At 41.3% G+C, this 18,376-nt stretch overlaps 1 protein-coding gene across 3 annotated transcripts in view, besides 2 other annotated features; it reads right to left on the reverse strand.

Moving 5' to 3' along the window:
- GK5 (glycerol kinase 5) overlaps positions 1 to 13,973 on the reverse strand; it is a 68,059-nt gene extending 54,086 nt beyond the window's left edge. For all 3 annotated transcript variants that reach the window (NR_033289.2, NM_001039547.3, XM_047447897.1), the window contains exons 1-3: positions 13,697 to 13,973; positions 3,987 to 4,080; positions 1,914 to 1,989 (exon numbers count right to left, since the gene is read on the reverse strand). Coding sequence is in view for 2 of the 3 variants with exons in the window: in NM_001039547.3 (NP_001034636.1) it covers positions 1,914 to 1,989; positions 3,987 to 4,080; positions 13,697 to 13,843 (317 nt within the window). In the remaining variant the exon portion in view is untranslated. The remainder of the gene's footprint in view (positions 1 to 1,913; positions 1,990 to 3,986; positions 4,081 to 13,696) is intronic.
- Positions 13,507 to 13,726: a silencer, noted in NCBI's record as "silent region_14788". NCBI's record gives its function as "represses an Ori minimal core promoter by ATAC-STARR-seq in GM12878 lymphoblastoid cells {active_cell/tissue: GM12878}" and the evidence as "EXISTENCE:reporter gene assay evidence [ECO:0000049][PMID:35858748]".
- Positions 13,917 to 14,156: a silencer, noted in NCBI's record as "silent region_14789". NCBI's record gives its function as "represses an Ori minimal core promoter by ATAC-STARR-seq in GM12878 lymphoblastoid cells {active_cell/tissue: GM12878}" and the evidence as "EXISTENCE:reporter gene assay evidence [ECO:0000049][PMID:35858748]".

An 18,376-nucleotide genomic window follows, 5' to 3' on the forward strand; every position in this document is an offset into this window, starting at 1 on the left:
GAGACTCCATCTCTATAAAAATTTTAAAAATTAGCCAGCCATAGTGTGGTACACACCTATAGTCCTAGCTACTTGGGAGGCTGATGTGGGAGGATCCCTTGAGCCCACGAGTTCGAGGCTGCAGTGAGCTATGATCGTGCCACTGCACTCCAGCCTAGGTAGCAAAGTGAAGACCTCATCCCCCAAAAATGAAAATAAAAAGATCCTATCTGATGGAGATGTGCTATGCCTCAGTCCAAGTTAAACCAATGTTCTAGTCACCTCTGAGATATCTCCACATTCACACGTCCAAAACCAAACATTTTATCATTTTTCCTTCTACCTACTCTCACTACTACCCAGCCCATTCCTCCTTACATTCTCTATGATTTCTATCATACAGCCCAAACATCAAGGCCAGCAGTATTGGTAAATTCAAATTTCTTCTTCCTGCCCAATACTGAATTAGAAGCCAAGTCCTTGTGAATTCACCCTAATTATATTTTTCAGATTCATCTTTTCCCCCTCTGCTCACTTTTCTTTCCCACTGCCCAAGCTCAAGATGTCCTTTGGAGCCTAATGCTTTAACAAAAACACATTTTACAGTGGTGTGTGTGGGTACGTGGGCGGGGGGATTTTGGGGGAGGGAATGTGGGTGTGTGTTTAAACCAAGACACAGAGAAACACATGCTAGCTGGGGGAGGTGGCTGAGGTGGAAGAATTGCTTGAGCCAAGGAATTCGAGACCAGCTTGGCAATATGGTGAAACCCCGTCTCTACAAAAAATACAAAAAAATTAGCCAGGCATATTGGAGTGCACCTGTAGTCCCAGCTACTCAGGAGGCTAAGGCGGGAGGATTACCTGAGCCTGGGAAGTTGAGGCTGCAGTGAGCTGTAATCATGCCACTACACTCCAGCCTGGGTAACAGAGTAAGACCCTGTCTCAAGAAAAAAGAAAAAGAAAAAGAAAGAAACATGTTGAAGGCAATATGGGGATAGTATAAAGAACATACGCTTCTGAGTCAAAAAGACAATTTAGAATCTTGGCTCTATTTGCTCCCTGAGCAACCCTGAACAACTTATTTCTCTGTAAAAACAGATATGATGCCTAAATTATAGGTTTGTTGTAAGGATAATGGAACTTGGGACTGTCACAGATGTTTACTATACAGTAGCTATTACAATATTATAACTGTGTTTAGAGTATATATGCCTCATATGCTATAGACAAATATTTTCTTTTTTTTTTCTTTTTTTTTTTTTGAGACGGAGTCTCGCTGTCGCCCAGGCTGGAGTGCAGTGGCGCAATCTCGGCTCACTGCAGGCTCCGCCCCCTGGGGTTCACGCCATTCTCCTGCCTCAGCCTCCCGAGTAGCTGGGACTACAGGCGCTCGCCACCTCGCCCGGCTAATTTTTTGTATTTTTAGTAGAGACGGGGTTTCACCGTGTTAGCCAGGATGGTCTCGATCTCCTGACCTCGTGATCCGCCCACCTCGGCCTCCCAAAGTGCTGGGATTACAGGCGTGAGCCACCGCTCCTGGCCGCTATAGACAAATATTAAATTTAGAGTAGACTGAAAATATAAACCATAGTACAGTACTGTGTTTCTGAAATTTGTGAGTTTCCTCTGACTCTTTTTAGGTATAATTTTTTAGATCTTTGATCTATGCTTGTTTGAAAAGCTAACTTACCCGAAAGAAAGAAATGGATAATTTTAATGACAGTTAAGTCTTTTTGTGGTATTATATAATATAAGTCAAGCCCAAATGACATGCAGTGAGCATACAAGCCAGAAAGCAGGCACATTTCATCCCTCTTAACCAAACGAAACTATTCTCAATTCAGAAAGTTAAAACTCCCCAAAGAGATTTCATAACCGTGTACTCACTGTGGCATGAACCCAGCAGTAGGGTGCTTATCACAGAATGTACTTACTTGTTCCACGTAATAAAAGTTGCTCTCTGTGTTGAAATGCCAAGACCAACAATTTGATTCATCTGTATTCCTGCAGCTAAAAGTAAAGATGGATAAAACACATGTTTTAAAGCCAGTGATATTTTTCTTTATAATATTACAATATAGAAAAAGAAATCCAATATAATCTTTAAGAAAAATACCTGGGTTTAGCATTCTAACAAAACAACTGGAATTAACAAATAAAGCATTACTAAGATGATTCTGCAGCATTTTTTTTTTACTTGAAGAAAACAAAGGTTGTTTCTTGTTTTTTGTTTTTGTGTTTTTTGTTTTGAGACAAAGTGTCACTCTGTTGCCCAGGCTGCAGTGCAGTGGCACAATCTTGGCTCACTGCAATCTCTGCCTCCCGGGTTCAAGCAATTCTCCTGCCTCAGCCTCCCAAATAGCTGGGATTATAGGTGTGCACCACCCTGCCTGGCTAATTTTTTGTATTTTTAGTAGAGACAGGGTTTTACCATGTTGGCCAGCCTGGTCTCAAACTCCTGACCTCGGGTGATCCGCCCACCTTGGCCTCCCAAAGTGCTGGGATTACAGGTGTGAGCCACTGTGCCCGGCCTTAAAGGTTGTTTCTGAATAACAAAGTAGCTTTTTTTGTTTTAGGTGCTGGGAAAAAAACAAATACTATTCAAAGTATGTCAGATTTATTTTTTCTTGGTAATAATAAGATTGGATCTTAATTTAAGCAATGATCAATCATAATAGAAGCTGGTTAATGACAATAAAGGAAAACTCTCAAGGAAAGTAGTCTAATTATTGAAGCTGAGACCTTATTTTCAACACAAACTGATGCCAGGATGCAAACAAAAATATTGACTTTTTGGTCCAAATTTCTTAAAATATAGCAACTCGAGTATTTTTTGTGATATTCTTTAAAAATCTATTTATCCCACCGGGAAAATCTGGGACAACTTCAATTTGAGCATTGAGAAAAACACATCAACTCCCATATAGTATTCCAAAGTTATTCAACCTGAATCTAACTGGGAGGAAACAATCAGAAAACCTCAAAATGAGGGACACTCTACTAAACTGGCTTGTACTTTTGAAAATTGCCAATGTCATAAGAATGTGCTCTAGATGAAAGGAGCCTAAGCCGACTGACAGCTAAATGCAATGCCTCCTCTTTGGCTGGGTTCTAGATTGAAAAAAGAAGTTTTTTTGTTTTTTGTTTTCACTAAGACAAGAGCAAATACTGAAGACAGAGTATTAGAAAACAGTGCTGTGTTAATGTTATACTTCCTGAGTGTTATAATTGCATTGTGGTTATAGGAGAAAATACTCCTTTCCTATGGTTCAGAAAGAAAAAAACAGTTTGCAGAAAATGGTAAATATTACAAAATATGTTTGAATCTATGAGAAAGATATACAAGAGTTTATTGTACTATTCTTGCAACTTTTGCATAGACTGAAATATTTCAAACCAAAAAGATGAGAAGAAGCAGTTCAGCCAGAAAAATGAAGTAAAAGATCTTTCAGAATTTACAAGTAATCTTTGCCATGTTCTCAAGCAAGGTGGCCATTTCAATGTTTTGAGATGTTGTCAATGTTTAAGAATGTTTCTAACATTCTTAAAGAACTAAGACTTAGACCATAGCTTTGGCCAGGAAAGCACTTTATGTCAAATGGCCAGAAAAAAACAAATAAAAACTCATTTTACAATAGAAATAACTCAGTTGTAAACCCATGAGAGTAGAAGCTATACACTGTAACTTCTGTTTATAATCCTCTGGTATTTTGTGCCAAACAGGAAATCAAAACAGCACTAGCTATAACCTGGAATGAGGAAATGGCGAGCATTTATATTACAGTCGAAAAGAGACAAACCAGAGGACACAGCAGATGTTACCTTTCCCTGACAAAGGAGCTCACTGTGAATTACAAATTTCCGTTGAAAAATACTGGGAAACTGTAATCCCAATAAAATACTATATATATGTATAACTTAGGAAAACCACAACTACAGAAGCCTGAGGAAAACTATTACAAAAAAAAAACCATAAAGATTATTGTTATTTTTATAAATCCAATTACCTTTGACTGCTTCTTTTATTACGGCAACAAATTGAATCCAAAGAACATCAGGATCAATTTCTACCCAGCCAATTTGAGGATAAAGATTTTCTACCTATTAAGGAAAAGAAGATTTAGTAAAAACAGCATTAGATCAAGTCAATAGTATGGGTCTTTGGGTCTCAAAACTACTGGTTAAAATAATTAACATGATTTTATTATCTAATTAATTTTTATTGTTAAAATTGAAAAAGACACATTTATGAGATAAAAAAGGACTATATGCCAACACCAAATAGCAGTAACTCATGAGTTCACAGAAGACTTTAGCTTTGTTTATCTCTACTTTTATTTTCTAAGTTTTCTACAAGAAGGTGTGTTTTTAAAATAAGAAAAAAGGCTTTTAAAAAATTAAAAATAAATTTTAAAAAAAGTGAATTCCAGTTCAGACCACGATAGAGTAAGCACACTCCACCCTGTCTCTTCCGCTAAATACAAATATAACACCTGGACAGAATGCATGGAGCAGCCATTGTGGACTCTTAAAAAGTATATGGCAGCAGGTGGACTGGGGAAGTAGATAAGAATTCAGGTACCATGGAACTGGTGGTGAGTTTCCCATTTTTCTTCTGAAATCCCCTGGCTTAGACTCAAGACATCCTGAAAACCAGAACTGGGAGCTAGGGCACAGAGGAAGTGCCAGGATAAGCTCTACTGTTTTGGCTCAAAGAATGAGAAAGGGAACTCCTAACACTCAGAGGAAATGGGGCAGATCTCCCATTTTTCTTTTTTCCCTTGTCTCCATACTTTTATACCCACAAAATCCTGCAGCAGTGGCAGCAGCAGTTAATAATGGTATCGGTGCGTCTCAACAGGTACCTAAAATCCTGAGGAAGGTAAAACTTCCTCTCCAATCAGATGAGCGGTGATCCCAAGAGGGTGTGGTCAACCCCTATGGCTTTTTTCTCTGTGTGTTTCTGCTGCCTAACCCCAGACATACCCAGCCGAGTGGAGTAATAAAAGCCCCAGCTTTTTGGCCGGGGACCACCAGGGGAGGTTCAGGGAATCAAAAAGTACCAGAACCATCTCAGAGAGGGAGGAACTTGGAAAAGATACCACAGAAAGTTGTGTATGAACTCTTAGGCTCACCCCAAAGCTGCACTTGCATGGATGTAATCCTAAACACTATACCAAAAATACTAAGAACAGAACTAAAGGATAGATCACTGCCCAGGTCCCAGACTGACTACTAGGTTGCACACACACAGGGCAGATCCAAATAGTACTGCCAAGATTTTGAAAACAAATCTGACATTGAAACTGCAGTCAGAAGACTGAATTTGTAGCCTGAACCCAAATGCAATAAATACCTGCTAAAAGAAAAACAACAAAAATCCTCATAGGATTTATAAAAACCCCAGGGTCTTTTAACATAATATTCAAAATTTCTTGGATACAATCCAAAACTACAAGGTATATGAAGAACCAGAAAAATCTTAACTCACATTGGAAAAGATAATCAAGAAATGTCAATGCCAAGATGACACAGATATCTGATAAACAGTCTAAAGCAGCTATTATGAAAATACTCCAAGAGGAGTGAATACACTTGCAACAAATGGAAAGACAGTCTCAGCAACGGTAACTGCAGTAATCATTTAACTACGTATGTGTATATCAAGGTCAGTATATCAGGACATCATGAAGAATGGCTTAAATATATCCCATTTTAAAAAGAAAGAAAAAAGAAAGTCATAAAAGACATAAAAAAGAAAAGTTTTAGAATTGAAAAATGTACTGATCAAAATTTAAAACTTACTGGATGGGCTCAATAGCAGAAGGGAGATAGAAGAAAATTAATAAACTTGAAGATAGACCAATAGAAATTATCTGCACAACAGAAAGAAAAAAGATTGGAGGAAAAAGAAGAACAAAGCCCCAGGACATAGCAAAAGGTCTAATATTTGTTTAATCAGGGGTCTCCAAAGAAGAAAAGAAAGGGTTCAGAACAGGAAAAAAAATCACTTGAGGGAAGTAACAGTGCTAAAAGCTGCCCAAGTTCAGTGAAACCTATATATTCAAGAGGCTCAGGAAAACTTTACCAGAATGAACCCAAAGCATTACACACCCAGATATCATAATTAAAATGCTGAAAACTAAAAGCAAAAAGTTTGAAACCAGACATTTCACATATACAGAACAAAAATTTAAATGACCGTGGATTTCTCATCAGAACCATGAAAGCCAGAAATAAGTGGCTCAACATTTACAGTGTGCTAAAAGAACTGCCATCCCAGATTTCTATAACAAAATCCCAATAGTATTTTTTGTAGATTCTAAAATTTATGCAAGGCAAAAAAACTAAAATAGCCAAAACAACGTTGAAAAAGAATAAAGTCAGAGAGGAAAAAAAAGAATAAAGTTAGAGGCACACTACCCAATTTCAAGACTTACTATAAAGCTACAGTAATCAAAATAGTATGCTATTGGCATAAAAACTGACACATAGATCAATGGAACAGAATACAGAGTCCAGAAATAGACTCACACAAATATGACTAGCTGATTTTCAACAAAAGTACAGGGGCAATTCCATGGAGAAAAGATAGTTTTTTCAACAAATGGTGGTGTAACAATTGGACATCCATATGCAAAAAAAAAAAAAAAAAATCAGGCCAGTCATGGTGGCTCACGCCTGTAATCCCAGCACTTTGGGAGGCTGAGGCGGGCATATTGTCTGAGCTCAGGAGTTCACAACCAGCTTGGGCAACGCGGTGAAACTCCGTCTCTACTAAAATACAAAAAAAAAAAAAAAAATAGCTGGGTGTGGCAGTGGTACCTGTAGTCCCAGCTACTCGTGAGGCTGAGGCAGGAGAATTGCTTGAACCCGGAAGGCAGAGGTTCAGCGAGCCGAGATCAAACCACTGCACTCCAGCCTGGGCGACAGAGCAAGGCTCCATCTCAAAAAAAAAAAAAAAAAAATCAACCTCAACCCAAACTTTGCAACTTACAGAAATTAACTCAAAATGGATCAAGATCTAAATGTAAAATGTAAAACTATAAAATGTTTAGAAGAAAATGCAAGAGAAAATTCTTGTGACTTGGGGTTAGGCAAAGAGTCCTTAGAACACCAAAAGTATAATTCATATAACAAAAAGTTGATAAATTGGACTTCATCAAAGTTAAAAACATTTGTTCTGCAAAAGATACTGTTAAGAAAATAAAAAGACAAAAGTACAGACTGGTAGAAAATATGTACAAATCACATATCCAGCACATGACTAATATCCAGAATATATAAAAAATTTCAAAACTCGACAGTAAGAAAACAAAGAACTCAATTTGAAAATGGGCAAAAGACTTCAAGCACTCCACTAAAGAAAACATGTGGATTACAAATATGTACATGAAGTTAGATATTCAGCATCATTAGCCATTAGAGAAATGCAAGTCAAATCAAATAAGTTTTAAAAACTAATGATACCAAGTATTGATGAGGATGTGGAACAACTGGAACTCTGATACATTGTTGATGAGAATGCAAAATGGTATGGCCACTCTGAATTTCTTGCTAAGATAAACATTCACTTACCATATAACCTAGCAATCCCACTCCTAGGTATTTACCCTAGAGAAATTTACCCTATAAGGTTGTACACAGGACTGGTTCAAAGCTTTTTAATATTCCCCTTAAAATCTGTACACTAATGTTTATAGCAGCTCTATTAATGATCACCAGAAACCAGAAATCACCTAAATGTACTTCAACAGGTGAATGAATGTAGTACATCCATATGATAGATACTACTCAGAAATAAAAAAGAATAAACAAGTGATATACATAACAATATGGACAAATCTCAAAGGCATTATGCTGAAAAAAATCCAGTCTCAAAAGGCTACTTGCTGTATGATTCCATTTATATGACATTCTCAAAAAGACAAGACTGTGTTACGGAAAACAGATCAGTGGTTACTAGAGGTTAGGTGAGTGGGGAGATGTGACTACAATAAAGTAACACAAGGGAGCTTGGGGATTACTTCTACACATGTCCTAAAGTTCACATAACTATACACCAAAAGTCGATTTTACTTTAACTTAAAAAATAAAATAAATTTTGTATGCTGGATGCAGTGGCCTGTAATCCAGTACTTTGGGAGGCCGAGGTAGGAGAATTGCTTGAGCCCAGGAGTTCAAGATCAGCCTGAGCAACATGGCAAAACCCCATCTCTACAAAAATACAAAAAGGGTGTAGTGGCCCACACCTGTAGTTCCAGCTACTCAGGAGTCTGAAGTGGGAGGATCACTTGAGTCCAGCAAGTAGAGGATACAGTGAACTGTGGCCACGCCACTGCACTGCAGCCTGGGAGACAGAGGGAGACTGTCTCAATCAATCAATCAATAAACAAATTTCATAAAAATCTATGGCTTCAAGTCAAAATGATGGCTTAAACATATGCATGTATCTCCAATTCCTCCCAGTCTATTAAAAGGAAAACATTAACAAGGTTTAAATGCACAAGGACAAAGAGAAGAGCAAATAGGATCAGACCAGATTTTAACAAATTTTTTTTTTTGAGACGGAGTCTCGCTGTGTTGCCCAGGCTGGAGAGCAGTGGCGCAATGTCAGCTCACTGCAAGCTCCACCTCCCGGGTTCACACTTCTCCTGCCTCAGCCTCCTGAATAGCTGGGACTACAGGCACCCGCCACCACGCCTGGCTAATTTTTTGTATTTTTAGTAGAGACGGGGTTTCACTGTGTTAGCCAGGATGGTCTTGATCTCTTAACCTCGTGATCCGCCCGCCTCAGCCTCCCAAAGTGCTAGGATTACAGGCGTCAGCCACCGCGTCTGGCAACAAATGTTTTTAATACGAACAGTGAGTGGGCAGATGGTACATGGCTTAGGACAGAGGAGGAAATGCCAATACCTCACTGCCTGCTCAGATTACACTGCACCTCTACTCACCTTGGCTCCCATTTCACTCAGAGTAAAACCATTATTCCTTATAATGGCCTATAAGACCAGAGTCAGGTCACCTCTACCCTTCTCCTCAGAATGTGAGTTCCTAGAGGGCAGGGAATGTGTCTCCTTAGTTCATTTTATCCCCAGCATCTAGAAGTGCCTATGGTTTCTTAGATATTCCATAAATATAAAGTGAGTATATGAATGAACATATGAGTGAACTATGAGAGTGATGCCCGTAAGCAAAGGGCAGAGATTCTAGGGTGGAACTCTGGAAATTAGAGGTTCCTCTGAAAGCTGGGATGCCAGATGGGGTTGTACGTAGGACTGGTTCAAAGTCTTTATAAGGAGCCCCAATTCCTTTCCTCCAGCCAGATCACTGCCCCTCCCTAACCTGGCAGAAAGAGAACGTAAGAGATTTATTTCTGGAGGGGTTGAACCAGAGTTCTGTACTTGCAAATGACAGATATACCTAAGTGCCAGGGCAAGGCATGGTACCAAAAAAATGCAGATAACCAATCAAGATCACTAGTTAAGGAAAATTTCTAACATGTAGTATGAAAAGGCCAAAATAAAGAAAAAAGGAACTCTGAGGATACAGTGACAATATGGGGAGTATAAGTGTTACACAAGGTGATGTGGAAAAAGAATCTCTTATTCCCCAGTGAGCTCATCAAAAAAACAGATTTAACACAATCTATTCTCCTTCTGTCAATTAATACTTCTGCCCTTTCTAGGCAAGGCTTTTATGACTACAGACTGTAATAGTTTAACTACAAGAAACACTTTCTTACCCCAGAAAACTCAATGTGGATATCATTATTTCAAGGCTATAAACCTTCAGACTTGACTCAGGGTCACTTCCCCCCACTTTACCAATCAGGATGTCACATACCATCCCCAAACAAGTTGCAGTAGTGAAATCTGTTCTTTTACAGGAGAACCAAACCAAAATTAGATCAAGTATATAATAAAAGTTAATTTTTTTTTATTAAAAACAAAAGACAACAACCACCTAGTCTGTTTTTCAAGCATGTACATAGAGTACACAGTATTACTCTTTGGAGTGACCTTTCTGTCCTGTTCTTCCAACCAAGACATTATCATTTTTTATAGTTTCTCATAATGGCATGATGTTCCACTGGGGAACATGATAAATATTCTCCATTTTTCAAACCAAAATATCAAATGTTCATATGTGGAGTTTCCAACACAAAATATTCTTCTAGTAGTTAATTTGTATATTTAAGAGTCCCTAAGAAAGATTTTTTAAAAATACAAATTACAGAAAAAAGCTAAAAATGTATCTCTACTGTTAAACATTTAAAAAATAAAGGCCACAAGAAGTAAGATTGACGTCTTCTCACAGCCTATTTTGTTCTTGTCTACAAAGGGGAATCTCTTTATTTTTTCTTTTTTAAAAATTTCTTTCCCAGTATAATCAAATCATACACTAAGAGGTTTTAGGTTTCTATTATACATTCTTTCCATTGGAATATTACAAGAGGTGTAATTTTCACTTGACAGAATAAACACAATCAAGTTCTGTGTCTAAGTCATAGAGCCCCATGAATTCCTAACATTTTAACTGCAATTCAATTATTTATTCTGTAACAATGAGGTAATAAACCAGGTACTAAGCAGCAATGTAGACCAACAAGATCCTTGTTCCCAAAAAACTCAAATTATCTGCAGTAAAGGACCAGTTGCTAATTGTTTTTTTAAAAAATTTCTATTCATTGGCCAGGCGCAGTGGCTCATGCCTGTAATCCCAGCACTTTGGGAGGCCGAGGCGGGTGGATCACCAGGTCAGGATATCGAGACCACCCTGGCTAACACGGTGAAACCCCATGTCTATGAAAAATACAAAAAATTAGCCAGGCTTGGTGGCGGGCGCCTGTAGTCCCAGCTACTCAGGAGGCTGAGGCAGGAGAATAGCATGAAGCCGGGAGGCGGAGCTTGCAGTGAATCGAGATCAGTCACTGCACTCCAGCCTGGGCGACAGAGCGAGACTCCATCTCAAAAAAAAAAAAAATTATATTCATTGTGGACCAGCAATTTTTAAGATACAATTAAGTTTCTAGTCCTAGTGCAGTAACTCGTGCCTGTAATCCCAGAGCTTTAGGAAGCTGAGGCAGGAGGATTGCTTGAGCCCAGGAGTTCAAGGTTGCAGTGAACTGTGATCAGGCCACCTGGGGGACAGAGTTAGAATCTGTCTCTAAAAATAACAATAATTTTTATAAAGTTTCCAGAAAAAAAAGGCATACAAAATAAAATCCCAAACGTTTCATTACTAGAGTCAATAGACATAAAATTATTCTGCTAAGTTGCTACACAAGTTTCTAAATGCTTAGTTTTCTTTTATTATCTCAATCCCAGCAGCCCCGTAACTACACTTTAAGCAGTACTGCTATAAACTCCTACCACACAGAGAGGCATTGCTGCACATTTCTTAATCTACGACTGTGCTTTATCCGGGAAGAGCAGGCATTTTTTTTGTATTTTTATTTACTCATATCTTTCTTTTATCCAGACACATTTTCCACAGTTTAGAGTCTGTGCAAATCTTCCTGGCCTCCTGCCACTCACAGCAATCTTGATCCATCTTTGAGATTCCTCACTTCATTCCTAAAAAAACTAATGATCTGCCCCAAATTATATATTAACTGTGAAACTTTGCATTTTCTAGTAATTCATTTCTCCCTTTGGTTCCAAATATTTCAATTCCTTAAAAGAAAAACAAAAACAAACAAAAAAACAGTGCTTAAAAGTACTTTGTGTCTAGAATTATAAGGGAGACTTTAAAAAGTATCGTTTTTGTGATAAATACTCTTAGAAAGGTAATGAGTACCCAGTCACTGAAGGGTGGTGTCTGCCTTTCATTTTTCTTTTCAGGCTGGGATAGGGATAGTGTGTGGGTGGGTGGGCAGTGTTCCCACACAGCTAGCCAGAGAAGGGACCAGGGAGCTGCTACAATCCCAGTTCCACTGTCTTGGTCCTGAAACCTGAATGGAGGCCGGGCACAGTGGCACACGCCTATAATCCCAGTGCTCTGGGAGGCTGAGGCAGGCGGTTCACCTGAGGTCAAGAGTTCAAGACCAGCCTGGCCAACATGGCGAAACCCTGTCTCTACAAAAATACAAAAATTAGCCAGGCATGATGGCGGGTGCCTGCAATCCCAGCTACTCAGGAGGCTGAGGCAGGAGACTTGCTTGAACCTAGGAGGCAGAGGTTGCAGTGAGCCGAGATCATGCCATTGCACTCCAGCCTGGGTGACAGAGCGAGACTCCGTCTAAAAAGAAAAAAAAGAAAAACTTAATGGAAGGAAGTCTGATGTTTCCCCAGAACAAATGCTCAAAGCAGTCACTACTCACTGGCACTCTAGCTGGACCTTGCTCCTGGGCAAGTGCTACAAAGAAAAACACCTCTAAGGTGGTGGGAAGAAGAACGGGACACTGAGAAAAAGGGGGAATACAGTGCTGCTGGGAATGGTTAGGTAACTGATGGCTCCGGCCCTCCCTCAAATTTCTAACATAAAAAGATGTTGGTACTGGGAAGAGAAAATAAGAACACCATAACAGGCTGGCTGCAGTGGCTCACGCCTGTAATCTTGGCACTTAGGGAGGCCGAGGCGGGTGAATTATTTGAGCCCAGGAATTTCCAGACCAGCCTGGGCAACATGGCAAAATCCCATCTCTATTAAAAAATACAAACAAATTTAGCCAGGCATGGTGGCCCCTTGCCTGTAGTCCCAGCTACTTGGGGGGCTGAGGTGGAAGGATCACTTGAGCCCAGGAGGTCAAAGCTGCAGTGAGCCGAGATCACAGCACTGCACTCCAGCCTGGGTGACAAAGTGAGACCCTGTCTCAAAAGAAAAAAAGGAACAACAATAAGAACACCATAACAAATAAATATTATTTTTGGTGCATTGACAATTGTGTATAAATCAACACTTCATTAATATGAGAACAGAAGGATATCAATTTGTTGGTTGCTGACCAATATTATCAACAATTCAAGGCTTTACTAACAACCAACCAATGATTTGGCAGGTCTCTCAAACGAGGGGAAATAAAGAATTTTATGAATTCTCAAAGATGGAAAATAGAAAACTGATGACCACACAGCCTTCAAAACTTGCCCAATACCTCTAATATCCACGGCAATCAGTTGCTCACGTAAGGAACCAGCATTTTGTGGAGTAGTAGTTAATAAAGATGACAAGTGAAGAATAGAGAATAAACTTAAATTCTACAAAGATATGAAAAGTTATTGAGGCACAAGTCCAAAGGCTATAATAAAGAAAAAAGAAAAAAAGTTTTGAAAAATTAAAATGTAAATAAAGATGTGGTGGGAGATCTATCAGGGAAGTGCAGGAAGAACCAAGCAACTCACAAACCACCCTCTGGCTGGATGTGCACAGCCTGCCCAGTCCCGTCCGGCGAGTCACCTCAGTCCCATCCAGGTAAGGCCGGACAGGTGGCTCCCCAGGTGGCAAGAGGCAAGCGAGCGGCCCAGGTCATACACCGGGCCCCTGGCACCCTCAGCCTGGACAGGAAGGGCGCGCGGGATTCAGCCCAGACGAGGGAGGGAACGCGAAGACTCAGCCGGTCTGGGCGCGCCGTTCTGGCCCCAGGGCCCGCGGGTGCTGCAGGTGGCCGCGTCCAGGGCGGTAGGTGGGGCCTGCCCGCTCGCCTCCCGAGGCCGGACCCCGGGACTCAGCGAAACCCAGTCAGACCCGCGCCCCACGCCCGCCCCCAAGTCACCTTCTGCACGCTGGAGCCGCAGACCCGCGCCGCCCGGTCATAGACGTGGCAGCGGATCACAGAACTGCCCACATCCAGCCCCAGCACGAAGCCGGGGTACCGCGGCTCCTGCGCTCTCTGCTCCGGGTCCGTGAGCAGCCCCGACATCCCGATCCCGCACGCCTCTCCGCTACAGCCGCCTACCCAGAGGGCGCGCTACAAATCCCAATGCTCCAGAGTCCCCGGGCGGCCCAACCCGGGCCCCAACCCGGCTCAGCCGGAGAGCCTAGAGAGGCCTGGCCCCTGCCGCCGGCTCCACCCCGACGCCGTGACGCCACGGGCGCGCGCCGGCGGCCGCGCGGGAGGGGTGGAGGTGAGCGGGTTTGCGCCGTGATCTGCAGCCCCAGATCGCCAGCCATGCTCAGCCTCCAGTCGCCGGCCGCGGTTGGATTGACTTGGCCCTTAACTCTTGTTTTTTTTCTTTTTGAGACGGAGTCTCACTCTGTCGCCCCGGCTGGAGTGCGGTGGCGCGATCTCGGCTCACTGCAACCTCCGCCTCCCGGGTTCAAGCGATTCTCTTGCCTCAGCCTCCCGAGTAGCTGGGATTACAGGCGCGCTCCACCACGCCCGGCTATTTTTGTATTTTTAGTAGAGAAGGGGTTTCACCATGTTGATCAGGCTGGTCTCGATCTCCTGATCTCGTGATCCGCTCGCCTCGGCTTCCCAAATTGCTGCGATTGCAGGCGTGAGCCACCGAGCCCGGCGGCCCTTAACTCTTAATTTTTTCTTTTGCTTCTCCAGCTTCCTGAGAGGCAGCGCCAGCGTTTCTCTTAACCCTAGCTACATTTGAAGAATCTCTGTTAAAGAAAAATAGCTACCCCATATGCTAATCGTAAGGAGAGAAGTATAGGCTAGTTTATATAAAAATCTCAAAAAGTTTGGAGGTGCCATAAGGCACATTTATTCATTTCTCAACTATGATTATGACTTGAGGGTTGGAGAAATTTTTATCTGAGTAACTTTGGCAGACTAACCTGTGTCTGCGTTCGTGCAGAATTTTTCAAGCTTAAAACATTTGTAGAGGTCACTACCATATATAGTTTCCATTTTTTTGCTAACATTTTGGGTGCGACTTTATTTCAGTATTATTAAATGCACAGCCATTGAATATGCTAGAGTTAAATGAAATAAAGTGCTGTTTTTCAAAAATGAAATAAAACAAGTGACATAAAAAATTCAAAATTTGGCCAAAAGTATTAATATTTATTAACAAACTGAGAGCTCCCCACGACTTCTCTTCCCAGAAAACCTGGTAAAGTTTGCACACAATACAAAGCGGTAAATATTTGCCAAATGAAATACAACGCAAGGAAGAAGACTTTTCTCAGCCCTCTAGTGGGAAAGAAAGGAGAAAGCTTAAGGTGGCTGCTTTGACCATCACACTCCACTCCAGCGGTTGCTTTTTTTTGGAATCTGAAAGCCTCACAGAGACCCTTTACCTTTTGTTGCTGCCCAAGGGGATGGGCTCATCCAGACACTTGGCCAAAAGGAACAAGGTGTCCTGTGGAAATTTCGAGATTCTTGCGGCTTAGGTTCCTGGGCCTGGAGCTTTCCCGGGGAGGGTCCTGATCTGCAAGTAGTGGGGAGGTGGTTCCACCTGCGCCACCCACCTCTCCACTGCCACCAGCAATCTGTGAAGCCGGGGCCTGAAAATATTCCTTATCTTCTTTTTGTAAAATTAGCAAACATATGAATATATGTTTTGTGTGAAAACGTTTAACAGTGCCAACTGGTATGTCAATTAAAAGGTAAAAGATAATCATTTTGGCTGGGCGCGGGGGCTCACGACTGTAATCCCAGCACTTTCGGAGGCCGAGGCGGGCGGATCACTTGAGGTCAGGAGTTTGAGAGCAGCCTGGGCAACATGGTGAAACCCCGTCTCTACAAAAATACAAAACTTAGCCGGGCGTGGTAGCGGGCTCCTGCAATCCCAGCTACGGGGGAGGCTGAGGCAGGAGAATTACTTGAAGCCGGGAGGCGGAGGTTGCAGTGAGCCGAGATCATGCCACTGCACTCCAGCCTGGGCGACAGAGCAAGACTCTGCCTCAAAATACATACATACATACATACATACATACATACATACATACATACATACTTACATACATACATACATACATACTCATTTTGAATCAAAACTTTTTTTAGACAGGGTCTTGCTCTGTCGCCCAGGCTGGAGTGCTGTGGTGCCATCTCAGCTCACTGCAGCCTCGACCTCCCGGGCTCAGGCGATCCAACTGCCTTAGCCTCCCATGTAGCTGGGACTACAACCACCACGCCCGCCTAATTTTTGCATTTTTTTGTAGAGACTCTGTTTCGCCATATTGGCCAGGCTGGTCTTGAGCTCCTGGCCTCAAGTGATCCTCCCACCTTTGTCTCCCAAAGTGCTGGGATTATGGGTGTGAGCCATTGTGCCCAGCCAAATCATTCTTTTTTTTTTTTTTTCTTTTTTGAGACGGAGTTTTGCCCTTGTTTGCCCAGGCTGGAGTGCAGTGCTGCGATCTCGGCTCACTGCAACCTCCGCCTCCCGGATTCAAGCGATTCTCCTGCCTCAGTCTCCCAAGTTGCTGGGACTACAGGCCCTCTCCACCATGCCCAGCTAATTTTTGTATTTTTAGTAGAGACGGGGTTTCACCATGTTAGCCAGGATGGTCTGGATCTCCTGACCTCGTGATCCGCCCGCCACGGCCTCCCAAAGTGCTGGGATTACAAGCGTGAGCCACTGCACAGGGCCAAGTCATTCTTTTGACCAAATTGTCGTGTTAATCAACTTGCTTTCAGACAATTTGACAAAATTGGCTCTTTGGCCATACAACGTGAAGCTTGGAACATACACCTGGAAGAGTATGTTTTTTTTCTTTGTACCCTGTTCAACAGTACTGATTTGTTCCAAGTGGCCTCAAGGACTGACTGCCTTCACCAGTGCTGGCCATTTTGGTCGTGTGTGTGTGTGAATTATTGTAATTCGAAATAAATGACTAATGGGTCCAGTACTTGTCAGGGTTCTACAGAGAAATAGAAACAATAGGATAGAGAGAAAGAGAAAGAGAGGTTTATTATTTTCAGGAATTGCTTCATGTGATTGTGAGGGCTGGCAAGTCCTGGATATTTGTGGGGCAGGCTAGCAGGCTGGAAACTCAAGAAGAGTTTCCATGTTGCAGTTTTGAGGAGACTTCCTTCTTTGGGAAACCTGTCTTTGTTCTTAAAGCTTAAAACCAATTGTATGAGACTCACCCAGGTTATGAAGGGTGATCTGCTTTACTCAAAGTCTACTAATTTAAATGTTAATTATTTCTAAGAAATACCTTCACAACAACACCTAGACTGGTGTTTGACCGAACAGCTGGGCATACAGTGTGTCTAACTAGCCTAGCCAAGTTCACACATAATAGTAACCATATCAGTTCCCCATTCACAACAGAGAAAACGGCTTTGTATTACCTGATGTTAATATTTAGTATATTTCTCAAAGTGATATTTCTTGGCTTCTTGAAACCTGACACTTCCTTAATGATCCTTTTTATAAATTCAAATAAATTATATTGAGTATTATCAAATCATAGAATTTGAAAACAGGGGCCTTAGAAACCACTTAATCTAGTGTTTCTCAAATTGTTTTCAGATCTTGAACAACTTTGAGGCCATAATGAACACTATCTTCCCAAGAAGATGCTTATACACACAAAATTTTGCACATAACTTCAGGTGCTGGGTGTTGGGTAAAGCAAACATAAAGATCTCAGATAAAAATCAAGATCTTATTTCACTGTTGAGTAGGAGAGGCCTGGGAGAACAAAGAGATACCTGTTTCTCCCACTTGCTTTGTTCTCTGTCAGCACCTCTAACCCTGCTCTTCTCTAAGGGAAAGGAGTATATGGGCAACAAGGCACAGGGCTCAGAGGCTTCTAAGGCCTTTGATAGCTGGTCAGTCATTCTTTTTTCTTAATTTTTAAAAAATTTTATGGATACATAGTAGGTGTATATATTTTTGGGTTACATGAGATATTTTGATACAGGCATGATAATCACATCAAGGTAAATAGGGTATCTTTTATGTCAAGCATTTATCCTTTGTGTTGCAAACAATCAAATTATACTCTTATTTTTAATGTACAACTAAATTGACTGTATCAAAAAATAGTCGATGTTGGTGTGAATGTGGTGAAAGGGGAACACAGACTGCTGTTGGGAATGTAAATTAGTACAGCCTCTATGAAAAACAGTGTGGAGATTCCTTAAAAGAGCTAAAAGTAGATCTACCATTTGATCCAGGATTCCCATTACTGGGTATCTACCCAAAAGAAAATAAGTCATTATATGAAAAATACACCTACACAAATATATTTATTATGGCACAATTCACAATTGCAAAGATATGGAACCAACCTAAGTGCCCATCAACTAATGGGTGAATAAAGAAAATATGGTATATATATATACACACACTATGGAATACTACTCAACCATAAAAAGGAATCAAATAATGTCTTACAGCAACTTGGATGGAGCTGGAGCCCATTATTCTAAGTGAATTAACCCAGGAATGGAAAACCAAAGAAGTAGGAGCTAAGTACACAAAGGTACACAAAGTCATATAACGGACTTTGGAGACCCAGAAATGGGAGGGTGGGACGGGGGTGT

This window comes from Homo sapiens, chromosome 3 (genome assembly GCF_000001405.40).
Source record: "Homo sapiens chromosome 3, GRCh38.p14 Primary Assembly".
In the NCBI taxonomy this organism is placed as follows: Eukaryota; Metazoa; Chordata; class Mammalia; order Primates; family Hominidae; genus Homo; species Homo sapiens.